The sequence below is a fragment of the Homo sapiens genome (assembly GCF_000001405.40).
Source record: "Homo sapiens chromosome 22 unlocalized genomic scaffold, GRCh38.p14 Primary Assembly HSCHR22_UNLOCALIZED_CTG1".
NCBI classification, from domain to species: Eukaryota; Metazoa; Chordata; class Mammalia; order Primates; family Hominidae; genus Homo; species Homo sapiens.
The window spans coordinates 19,681-32,810 of NT_187386.1; the positions used below are offsets into that span (position 1 = coordinate 19,681).

Sequence of the window (13,130 nt, forward strand, 5' to 3'; positions counted from 1 at the left end):
CTTTGCAGGTGAAAGTGGAAACACCATCGTAAAATGAAAAATAGGAAACAGCTGGTTAATATGGCTCTGGAATTTTTCTAGGACATAAACTGATGAGCTAGAAAAGTAAATGTGTCAGTCCTTGGTAGCAAAGTTTGTACGTTTATAAATTTTATCCAAATCCTCTTAATCTAGTGATTAATAGACACTCTTCACAAAAGGATGAGTGAGGTATATGTGTATGTGTTGAAAGGTTCCGAAGGATGCAACTGAGAGTACTTTTTTTGTGTCATGGATCCTTTTGGCAGTCTGGTGAAACCTATAGACCCCGTCTGAGCATAACGTTTTAAAATGCACACGTGGCCGGGTGTGGTGGCTTACACCTGTAATCCCAGCACTTTGGGAGGCCAAGGTGGGTGGATCACCTGAGGTCAGGAGTTTGAGACCAGCCTGGCCAATTAGCTGGGCGTGATGGTGCGTGCCTGTAATCCCAGCTCCTTGGAAGGCTGAGGCAGGAAAATGCCTTGAACCTGGAGGTTGCCATGAGCCGAGATTGCACCACTGCACTGCGGACTGGGCCACAGAGCAAGACTCTGTCTCAAAAAAAAAAAAAAAGAAAAGAAAAAAAAAGGCATACATAGGCCAGGTGTGGTGGCTCACTGCTGTAATCCTAGCACTTTGGGAGGCAGAAGCAGGGAGATCACTTGAGCTCAGTAGTTCAAGACCAGCTAGGCAACATAGTGAGATCCCATCTCTATCTACAGTTTGCTGCAGAGATCAAAGTAAAGTTCAGCGTAGGTGGTTGTTGTTGGGGAAGACACTCAGGAAGAGGACATGGGCTGAGTGTTCAGAAATGGTCAGGATTTGGATGGGGAGGGCATTCTACTCCCAGTTAAGTCCTGATAATGCAAAGGCCTCAGCAGGCCTTTTACAGATTGGAGAAATGACTGTCAGTGGTTTTAAGGACCAGTTTAGGTGGGATGATGCTGGACACAGAAAATTGGTTTGAATGATAATGAGTTTGGGATTTCGGCTTAAAGTAAGTCCCCAGAGCCCAGGCCACTGCTGCTGAGCCCCAGCCTGGGAACTGGAGGAAGCAGTCCCAGTTGCTGACCTCTTGTGGTCCCTGGCTTCGGGTGTGCAGTGCATCCTTAGTTATGACTCCTTGATTAATATTTTTAGCTTCTGGCTGGGCATAGTGGCTCATGCCACTGAGGCAGGAGGATCACTTGAGCTCAGGAGTTTGAGACCAGCCTGGGCAATATAACAAGACCTCATCTTACTAAAAATCAAAAGCATTACCTGGGCATGGTGGTACATACCTGTAGTCTCAGCTGCTTCAGAAGTTGAGGTGGGAAGAACTGGTTGAGCCCAGAAGGTTGAGGCTACAGTGAGCTGTAATTGCACTACTGCACTCTAGCCTGGGTGGCCCCCATCTCACACACACAAAAAAAGAGTGAGACCCGGTCTCAAAAAAAAAAAAAAAAAAAAGGGAGTTCCTCATTTGCCATGAGTGGACACCTGCTTCTTTACTGCTTCAAAGTGAACACAGCTATTCCTTGTAAAGGGTAGGTTTTACTGTAAGGAAATCTAGAACACCTGTGTGTGAATGCCCCCTGATTTTTCAAAGAAATGAGTGGTTGCATCAAAATCAAGCTTATATTTGTGGAAAATCACATGTTGCCAAATTCTCTCATCAAGAACCCTTTATTAACTGACTAATTGTGGGCCATGGTGGCAGGCACTTAACAAAGACCATGGCAGCAGACCTCCCTCAACTGGAACCCTCAGTTAAGCGGGATTTTGTTTTTATTTTGGAACTCCACCTTCAGAAGGGCAAAAATCACAAGATGTGGTAGCAAGGGTTTATTCTAGAAATTAGCTTCCAAGCAGTCGTCAGCCCAGTCTGTATGTCTTCCGCATCTATAATTATAGTAGCAGAAGAGAATGGTGAGCCTGGGGCACTGCAAGATCCTAAATCAAAGATTAAGGCATATTAACTCTACCCTCGCTGGAAAGTGGTCAGTTGTATTTTAAAAAGCTTTACAATAGACTTTCTAATAATGAGAGTTGAAGCAAAGTTTCCACCTAACCCTGTAATTAAATTCACCAGAAGACCCCATTTCCCATTATCCAGACGACCAAGGCTTTGCCGAACACCACCGTCCCTGCCCTCTAGGAGAGGTCATCCAAGGCCAGCAATGAAACAGTCAATCAATTTGCAAATAGACGGGAGGACACTGACAGGATGTGTTCACTGGGGGTAGGTGTCTACTCGGGGAGAGAGGCCAGGCAAGTCTGTCCTTGTTTTCAGTCTAGCAGGAGTGAAGGGGAGGCCAGAGTAACTCCTGAGTGGTCAATCTAGAAAGGCCTTTTGGAAGGGCTGGAATTTTAGGCATTTTTCTTAAGTAAGAGGAGAGTGACGTCCTGTTGGAATTGTGGGGTAGGGGATATTCTGGGCACTTCTAAAGGGGTGGAGAAACCTGAACGTCCTGGGATGGGAACCCTAAGGGTGTAGATTTGTAAAAATTGCTGCAGTCACTTGCCATGAGGACTGGGTATCTGGGCTAGAGACAGGTGGGCGACATCAGAAAGCTGTGAGTGGATACCCTGGAAGACCACTGAGAGGAGGAGCCAGGAATGGCACCAGACATTTCTGAAGGTGGGGGGCCCAGAGGTCGAAGCAAAGCGGGGCCTGTTTCTGTACCAAAGCAAGAGCTTCTGTATATCCATCAAAACATAATCAGGCCAGGCGTGGTGGCTCATGCCTGTAATTCCAGCACTTTGGGGGGCTGAGGCGGGTGGATCGCTTGAGGTCAAGAGTTCAAAACCAGCCTGACCAACATGGTGAAACCCCATCTCTACTAAAAACACAAAGAAGCCAGACGTGGTAGTGGGTGCCTGTAATCCTAGCTACTTGGGAGGCTGAGGCAGGAGAATCTCTTGAACCTGGGAGGCGGAGTTTGCGGTGAGCCGAGATTGCACCACTGCACTCCAGCCAGGGCAACAAAAGCAAACAAAACAAAACAAAAAAAACTCCATCTCAAAAAAATAAATAAATAAAACCATAATCAGAGCAAAGACATTCTAACAAAACTGTGAACTCGGAGAAATTAGTGATGCCTGCTTCCCGTCAACTTTCAGGTGTCCAGGCCTTCTCTTTATTAAAACAGAAAAAAAAATCTGATACCAGTTGTGTGTTCTTTCTTTGATGTAGTGCAGTTTGCCCAGGCTTGCCTTAAGTTGGTGCTATTTTTGTGTATTTAATTCTGTTTTCGCATGTGACCCATTGTCTGATGCTTCAGAATGCAGTCTGCTGCCTCCTTTTTGATAGCAACTCTGAGAACACCGTCTCTGCTCTCGGCAGGGCACTGGGTACACCTGTGGCATCGCTGGTGCCATGGCATGAGGCAGGCTTCCCACTTCACTTCTCAAGGACCCATTTTATTAACTCTCCTTCCCCCAGGAGCTCCGTATTTTGAAATCTTTTGTTTCCCAGACAATTAGGGAGTAATTAAACCTTTTTTCCCACATGATAACAAGTATGATCGTTCACACTTGATATAGTCCAGTTCTAAAGCAAAATTAGTCTAGTGGTCTGGGTTGCGGATGACCAAAGCACACATATGTTCGATCCATTAGGTTGCTTAGCCCTGTGGTTAGGGAAGGTGGGGTTATTGTTAGGTGATTTTGAAATCTCCAAGGTCATCAGTTTCCCAACCCCATGTGCTGCTTTGGATAACCTGGGTGGTGTTTGCCCACTACTGCTTTGCATTGGTGACCTTGATTGACCATGCTAGGTGGCACTTTTCAGCAGGGTGAGGAAAGGAGATGCAGAGTTGAGCAGCCGTCATTTCCTCCGGGTCCGATCACACCTACCCTATCCCAGCCAGATACAATCTATCCCTTTTTAAAAAGACTTTCAGAGAATGAAATTTTACAGTCTTTTTTGTATAATGCCCCCAAAAGGAAATCTTGATTTTCACTTAAGATTTGATTTGAAGTAAGTCATGATTTAGAACAGCAGATAAAATGCATTAGGGTAAAGTATTATGTAAATGTAAGGTGAAGAGATACTGGTTTCTACTTCAGGTGGTAGCTTATATTTGTTTGCTTTAATTAATTAATTCATTCATTCATTTTTGAGATGGAGTCTCGCTCTGTTACCCAGGCTGGAGTGCAGTGGCACAATCTTGGCTCACTGCAACCTCCGCCTCCCGGGTTTAAGTGATTCTCCTGCCTTAGCCTCCCAAGTAGCTGGGATTACAGGTGCCCTCCACCACGCCCGGCTAATTTTTGTATTTTTAGTAGAGATGGGGTTTCACCATGTTGGCCAGTCAGGCTGCTCTCCAACTCCTGACCTCAGGTGATCTGCTGCTCCAGACTCCCAAAGTGCTGGGATTACAGGCGTGAGCCACCGTGCCTGGCCTAATTTTTGAATTTTAATTTTTTGATGGAGGTAACGGTGACTATAATTCTGTTACAAGAATGTAGAAAGTCACGCCTGTAATCCCAGCACTTTGGGAGGCTGAGGTGGGCAGATCACAAGGTCAGGAGATTGAGACCATCCTGGCTAACACAGTGAAACCCCAAATATAAAAAAATTAGCTGGGCGTGGTGGCGGGTGCCTGTAGTCCCAGCTACTCGGGAGGCTGAGGCAGGAGAATGGTGTGAACCCGGGAGGCGGAGCTTGCAGTGAGCCAAGATTGCGCCACTGCACTCCAGCCTGGGCAAGAGAGTGAGACTCCGGCAAAAAAAAAAAAAAAGAATGTGGAAAGTAAAATGTGAAAGTTCCCCTCCTTGTCTATGCCCCTTATTGACTTTGATATAGATTCTTTATAGTTTGGTATATATTCTTCCAGACCCTTTTCTGTGTATATACTTACACAAATATATTTTTTCTGACATAAATGGAATCATGCAGAACATATTGTTCAACAACTTGATTTTAAAGGGATGATTTACTTCACTATTTTTTCAGGCTTAATTTTATGGCTATATCAGAACTGATTTGGTTATTTTATAGCTGGCTGAAGCTGTAATTTGTGAAATCATTGGGGAGTAGTGAGCCTCCTTCCATAACTACATAACAATAAATTTTGCTGTATCAGGAGAGCAAGTCATAATAAAAATATTACCCTTAAATTTTAATGTATTTAGTGAGAATAATTGACTTGTTTATTCTGCATATTTTCTTCAAAAAACACATAAATTCATCAAATTAAGCACGTTCGTATTTTATTGACTATTTTGCTATAATTTTGAAATTATGTTAAATTAAAATGAAGCCTGTTTGAAACCTGTTAAGATGACAACCATAAATACTTAGTTTTGTGTCTAATTCAGTTAAGTGTTCTTGTTTGTTCATGGACCAGAAAAAAAGTTTTCCTGTGTTTTCAATTCCCAAGTGACTCCTCCAGATAGAATGAACTGGACCCGAGTAGTCTTTAAGGTTGCTGGCTACGGGCTCAGCATTTAAGACTTTAACCCAAAGGAAGAGAACTTTTTTTCTCAAGCCCTGCAGCAACAGTTATTGCTGTAAAAAGATTATCATTTCAAAGTGTTGGGTTACTTCTCACGTTCATGGGAATGACTTTCTTTAAAACCTCTGGGAGCAAGAGCAGTTTCTTGGATGGCTCATCTTTAGACCTGATTTTGAAAATAGTTGCTCTTTTTTTTTTTTTTTTTTTTTTGTTCAGACATTTATTGAGCACTTCTTAAGGGCCAGGCATAGTGTGAGGCACTGGGATGTAACAGTGATTATGACAAAGTCCCTCAAGGAGCTCACAGTCTAATGGTAAACTACAGAGTAAACTGAGGCACAGAGTGGTAAATGACTTACCCAATGAGGTAGAAATAGCTAGGTATGTGAAAATGTGGGAGCAGAGCTGGAGAGAGGGCAAGGTACAACTTGTCCTAAGTAAAACCCCTTGGACTGACTCAACAGCAAGGCTGCATACACAAACATTACAAAATCTACTTGCAAAAACCTGAAAGGAGTTTCCAATTATCACCATGACTGAATTCATGTTTCACAATGAATTCAGCTATTTCCTGATGGCATTTCTATCCTTGCCCCCAAAGCCACTGGGCATGCCACCGATCTGCTGGGAGACAGCAATTAGGTAGACAGCTTAAAACCAAGAAGTATCTGACTCCAATTTTAGCACTGAAAACCATATTAAAATACTTTAATTAAATCCACAAACATAAATGTGTAGCACATTTATGATACTTCTACATGTAGAAGTTTGGAAAAAGTCTCTTCTAACCCTCATCCAGAGGATTCTAATAAGTTATAGATACCAAAGAGATTAGAGAATTTGTCTGTCATTTTCCATATATACATTATTTTGGCTGTACAAGAGTGAAAAGTGTCACTCAGACATATTTCGTAAGTAATCTCAACATTATACAGATATATACAAAGACATCACATTTAAATTCGTGTGTACATCTATGCAATGTACAACAGTAACTGCAAACATGAACCAGTGTAAGGCAATTTCTTTTGTGACATATGACATACTCCTTGAAGGGAAGGGTAGAGTCCACAAAGAACTGTCCTTTTCAGCCTGACTGTCTGTCTTCATGACACTCTGTGATGAAGCTACTTCAGGAGGCAAGATGTCTATTTCACTGACAAAAAGCAGTGAATAATTATAAAAGGAGTTGTTTTCAAATGTGGAAACCACAATTACTCAGTAATCTAAGTGGTGAACTCCTCAAAGACACTACTGGCCATGATGCCGCTACTGAGAACGAGAGCACTTCATGGATAATTTATTGCTCTGAGAATCAAATTTGATGCGTAATTCTCCACGAAGATATTCCCAAAAAACTCAGTGATACATAAATTCTCAAATGCCATCAGTTGCTTACTTCAAGCAATTCTTCACTTTGCTGAGGATTTTCTTCTTCCTCAGGGCCTTCTGGATGAGTGCTCTCAGATGAAGAGGTCCTGACACCTTCAGACCTTTTGTTACTGGTCTGACCCTGCTCCACTTCTCACAAATAGACATCGATAGGTCCGTTGGTGCTCCTTATGTGCACTGTGATAGAGTCTTCTCTGGGAGCTGGAACATCCAATCTGGTTTCTGCTGGAGCTTTAACTGCAATGACGATCTGTTCATGGAAGGCCTGAATGCTATGAATGTCTTGATAGGTCACATATGCTAGTCTTTCATTTTCTTTGTCATCTGTTAACTCAAACAGCTGCTGAGCACAATCCTTAATTAACTCATCCAAAGCATCTTCCATTGCTGATAAGTCAGAAAGTTCCTCCTGTAGCTTCTTTTGTTGGGGAACTGCTCCAAAATTGCTAAGATCAGATCCTATCCATCTAATATGGTTCTTGGATTTCTTTTCAACGAGGTCGATTCCATCTAAGACATCGGTGATGTCATACACTCTCCGCTTTCGGACTCCCAGTTTCGTTGCAACCTTGTTTAAGTCAAGAATACCCCCGGGAGCAGATTTCTCATGGACACATATTGTACATTATCTTCTAAATTAATCCTTATTTTTGATGGCAGCAGGCCCTCCACGTTGATGGGGTCTCCTCCGTCGGGTGCAGGAGGAGACTGGGTAATCTCCTCGCCGGCCGCTGCTGACTCATGCTGCCCGGCCGGGCGTCCTGCTCCTCTCGCACCCCACGAGCTCTCCCGCCCTCTCGCGCTCAGCTCGAGCACCGCCCCCCACGCGCCGATTTCCAAGGGCCCAGCACCTAAGGGGTCCGCGGCCTCCTCCGAGGCGTCGCCCGGCTAGGCCGTCCCTCCCGCCAGTAAACGCGGCACGGCCTCACGTGCCCGGGAGCTCCCGACGCAGACGGAAAAGGAGCAGGGAGACCCGCGGATCTCAAGTCGCCCGGCCCGCCATCTTCCCGCATGCGCAGTCAAAATAGTTGCTCTTTTGGAGAGATGGCTGTGGGATTCATGTGTCATAGGCATCCCTTCTTAAACATCAGTGTTTGACTTTCTATCCCTTGTCCTGAGACCTCTGAGGGTAGCCCCTGTTTTAGCAGAATCTACTTCTAATACTTTCCTAAGAAGGCTTTCCCAAGAAGTTCATTCAACAAATAACCGAGTGCCTTCTACAAGCACTCATTGTTCTGTTATCTCCGGTGCCACAGAATTCACAGTTAAAATCATGACTAACATTTTAAGTCGTCACCTGATATGTATTTTTAATCTTTAATAAATAGAAGCATTAATTAAATACACTGTGACATTCGGGAACTCTTTTTTATTCCTAAGGTACATCTTTTTTCTTGCCATTACTTAACCTCTTTTCTTCCTGTTTTGTTCTCAGCTCTCCTTTACAGCCATGAGTTACTAGTGCCCGGTGCCACCACGAAGAGGGGGTATCTGTAGGAGTAAGATGATGAATAGCAGTGGTAAGGGGAGAGCGAGGAGAAGGGAGGGGGCTCTGAGGAGGCTAAAGGGCAAACTTTTATTCTTGAAAATACACAAATATCCCAAGTCCTGGGTGTGTGGAACGTCCTTATTACTGCTGGGGATGTTGCTTGTCTGTGGGAATTGGGAATTTCACACCTAGCTCTGAATTTCTAGGAAGCCCGAACAAAAGAGAAATAGAAATAGAGAAATCACATACTTCCCACCAGAGAGGAGACACCATCCATACCAGAGGAGACTCGTATGGGGGGTGGTGAGGATAAGGCCGATCCATCTTCCCCACCTCATACTCTGCCTCCTGCAGTGTGGCCTCCCTGAGGGCGCCCTGGCAAGGGAGGGTGTGGGACCCTCATCAGTATGGCTCTTACAAATTCCCAGAAGCTGCTGTAGCAGCTCAAAGAGGGGCAGGCTCTTCCAGGTCTGTTCCTTGCCAGATGCCCTCTCCCAGCCTGGGGTTAACCCTAAGCAGGCATTGATCTGCACTTTGCTCAGAGTCACTGGTGACCTCCCGGGTAGCCAAGAGCTTCCCCCTTCTCCGTGAGCCCTCTGAGACTGCAGGTCCCAGACGGTTGTAAATTCTGCCTGGTGGAAATTGCCAAGGCTCCAAAGCAGGCACCTGCTGCCCTCAGGAGCCTCTGTGCAGGGCCATTCTTCTCCCTGCAAGCAGCACTTCTCGGAGACCTTTCTGGTTTTCCTCTTCAGCTTTGTTTGGCAGTGGTTTGGTGTTGGTTTGGAGATGGTGGTGTGTTGGGAATTATGCTTCACATAGATGGACATGTTTGTTAGCGGGAGGAATGATGGTGCAGATATTCATTCCGGGCTTACCCCAAACTAGGTAACCCTTTATGACATTGTTTAGAGATGATTTGCTGAACAGTTTCATAATGCCTTCTGATGTTTCAGTACAAAAAATAGCTTGCTGAACAATGTTACAATCTGTCTTCTGATATTTCATTACAAAGAAGCAAGAGCACATTCTGAGCACCCTGCCCAGTGCTTTCACCTTGTCTCTGTTGGAGCAGGTGATTGGTTCCAGCTCTGCGTTTTGGCACCTCTGTGGCTGGGCATCCCTCTGAACTGTGCACTTCTAGAAGGGAGCAACAAGATAGAGAACTAATATGCCTCTAGGCCTGAGTTCATTTTGGAAAAATCTTTGTAGATTTCTTGCCCAATCCTCTTATTTTAAAGGTGAATTGTCCTAGAGGGAAGAAAAAGACCATGGTGACCTGGGTGGGTAAAGGGTGGAAGTAGTACTGGAAAACGCCCCTAACAGGAGATGAGAAAGAGACTCTGGTGCACGTCATCTTTGTTTTAATTAAAACGTTATGCAATACAAACATTCGCCTTCCCACTCTTCCCCCTACCACAGAGGAGCTGTAATTTCCCATATTTGGAATTTGGGGAGAGCTGGGCCTCATTTGAAGATAAGGCCAGATTCAGTCTCTGATTTGGGGGGAAGTAAGTAATTGAGAGAGCCTTGAGGACTGTGGTATTTATGGTGAATATATCAGAACTATGTGTGTCTCCTTGTCATCATTTATTCAACACCTCTGATGTCCTAGAGCTGGTGCTATGCCCATCAGTATCTGACTCTCGTTTTCTTCTGCATATTTTCCCTTTTGCAAATGTATAGGCATTCAGCTTTAATCAGGTAGGCTTTTTACTCTGTGATCTGCAACGGGGATGACTGAAGTCATGTGGAGGATTTTAAGTAACTAATCTCTTAAGACATTCAGAGCATAATCTTCCCTAGCCCGTGATCATCCTGCCTGCATCCGAGAGATTTGTGAGGCTCTGCAAAGGAGGCTGGATGTGGACTTTGGCATCCTTTGGAGAGACTGGGTGTCTTCCTTGCTGGTGACAGGTTTTTGTTTGCTTTTGGCATGGGAACAGGACCTGCTGTTCATTTACCATGTCAAGAGAGTTCAAGATGCCCCATGAATGTGACCAGTGTGTTACTAAATCTCCGTACTGGTACAGAGAACAATGGCAGGCCAAACACACATGAAGACCCTGTCTAGGCTCATTGATGTTTATGCAGTTTGTGTCCAGGGCTGGTTCTCAGGGAGAAAAATAGATAAGATCTGCAAAATAGATAAGAGAGGACTGCTGGTCAGTGGTGTTCCCTGACATTTTTCCCTGAATGATACCAGGTTAATCAAAAGATAAGGATCTAAAATATTTTTGTGCTCTGCTTATAATTTGAATGTGACTTCATATGTGTGTCATCTGTTGGACTAAATTGGATTGCAGTTGCTCTTCAAATTGTCATTCCTTTATTTTCTATTTCTACCTACCTCCTGATGTTAGCTCAGGTTCCTGCTACCAAGGTGTCTTGCAAAAAAATTTGGTGACTATTACTCTAAGTGAAGCCTTTGATACTTTCTCTTAATACAATGGTTAAACCTCTAACAACGTAGACTAATGAGGAAGATTAGTTTGAATTAGTAAAATGTCTGAATTACCAAATATTTTTCAAGAACTTCACTGTTATTACTTTTAAGTAAATACTGTAACTCAAACTAGGCTAATAGAATGCCTAATAAAGATCCTTAGGGGATCCTGCTTTAGGAGAGAAATAAGAATGATTTGCAATTAGTGCACCAATTGTTTATGTAAATGGAATTTCTGAAATACTAGACTGAGCTTGAAAACCGTTTGTTCCCTTAAGTATTTTAAATAGTCCCTACGGAACCCCTGTGCATGCTGGTAGTTGTTTATATGCTGTATAGAGACCTGTTTCATGAAGACATAACTCAACCTTATATCATCAGTATCAGAAATTCCAAGTTAGTGATGGCCAGGATCCTCACCTTCCAAGATTAGATTAGATCTCTCTGCCAAACGCTTCCATAGCACATGCAATTGTCTGTTGTAACACTAATCAATACATTTAACAAATATATGATGTATTCTGCTATATGCTTTGCCAGTGTGTGAAATGGAGGAGACATAACCCTCATCTTTGTGTAGTTTATAGGCTAGCAAAGAAGTCAGGCAGTAAACAAATAAATGCATTTATAATTAATTACAATCCTGAAGTTAGATTGTACTTTTGTAAGTAATGGTTTAATCAACTAGATTTTAAGTTCCATTAAGATAGGGGTTACTTCTGTGTTGTTTGTCATGGTGTCCCAAATCCTTCCTTAGCCTACTGCCTGGCATAGAGTAAATATTAAGTTGAGCTTTATTGCCATTTTGATAGGTCAGAAGCAGTCGAATGTCAATAATGTCACATAGTTCAACCTAATAGTTGCTCAGTCAATATGTATTGAATGTTGAATGCATGTTGTAATCAGTGATCCTATGGTAGGCTGCATTTCACACAGTTTTCTCTAGCCAAAGAAATGCTAGCTATGGTTTTGAAAAGGAATTCTAAAACTTCAAACAGCTAAAACTGGTGATATAGACTGTGGGACTGGAGATCTGTGAGACTGGAGTGCCTTTTGTCCAGTATATTTTCTATGCAGTTCTTGGTACATTTCCCAGCCTCAGGTGGGAGCATGTGTATTTGGGTCTGGAGTGCTTGTCAGTAGCCCAAAGAACCTGGGAAGAGTATGCTGGAAAGCTAAGATGGAAGGCAGGGATAGGAGCTGTTTGGCCTGAAGAAGAAAGTGGCAGGAAAGATATTGGCATAGCCAAAGAAGCCTTCCCTTTAAGTCCTAGTGTAGGGAGACTTACTTTTCCAGACCAGAGCTCATGAGATCATGCACTCATTCCACAGATTTGTGTGAGTCTGTGATGCGCTCAGTTATGGCTAGGCATGGGCGTTCCTTATTGTGAGCTTCCTTTTTGTGCCTGGAACTTCTGTCTGAAGGGTTGTGGGCTGGACTGTAGACCACTGGTCCTCAGAGGCAAGGGTTGAACTGAGGAGAAAGCCCCAGCTGGATCCTGCTGGGAGAAGCCCAGCACTCTGGCCTGGGGCCTGCTCCCTATCTGTGGAACTGGGAGTAGGGCCCAGGCTAGGGCTTAGATCAGAGCTTCCCAAACCTTCTGTGTTAAGAACGTTTTTGCATCTGTTTGGATTTCATGGCTGTTTTTCCATTTTCCGTGCACACATGTCCAATTGTACCACCCTATTATAATGCACACTCTTTTCTCACACCCACAGGATAATTTGTAGTTCCACAGCTATTTGTTGAGCATCCTCATCTGCCAGCACAGGATGGGGGTGGCAAGTGAGGGGAAACACAGATATGTGGTATTGGTCCCTGCCTGTGGTAGACGTGATTGGTTACCTACAGTGGCTCTTGTTTTCTCTTCCTGCTGGCAGGACCCAGTTGGGTTGGATGCCACACCTCTCCCACACGCCACTCAAGGAAAGGTGACCCTGCCTCCAGCTCTAGGGTATGTGCTGATTGAGCTGAGCCCATCCTGGAGGCCCGTAGTTTAGACATGGTTTTGGCCACTGAGGTATGAGAAGTCTGCTGGGAGATGCTGGGAAAGATGTTTTTCCTTGTAAAAGGAAATGCAGAAGGGACAGCTTCTTTCACTAGATTCTCGGACGTGAAGCAGCCATCTTGTTGCAATGAGGAAAGCAGGTTTGTTGAGGCCAGCAGACGGGAAGAGATGGGAAAAACCCTGAGGGCCAAGCCCCTGAAGACTGAACCGTCCAATCTCCATACATTTTGTCCTCACTGTTGAAGCCAGTTGAGTGGGAATTTTCTATTACTTATAGTCGAAGGCAACCTATATTAGACACTCCCTCAAAGGAGCATGAAATAGGATTTCTTCTTG

General features: G+C 44.1%; 1 pseudogene; it reads right to left on the reverse strand.

The window, feature by feature from the left end:
* Positions 1 to 6,760: 6,760 nt before the first annotated feature.
* Positions 6,761 to 7,597, reverse strand: LOC102724563 (transcription factor E2F6-like; annotated as a pseudogene).
* Between the last annotated feature and the right edge of the window lie 5,533 nt (positions 7,598 to 13,130).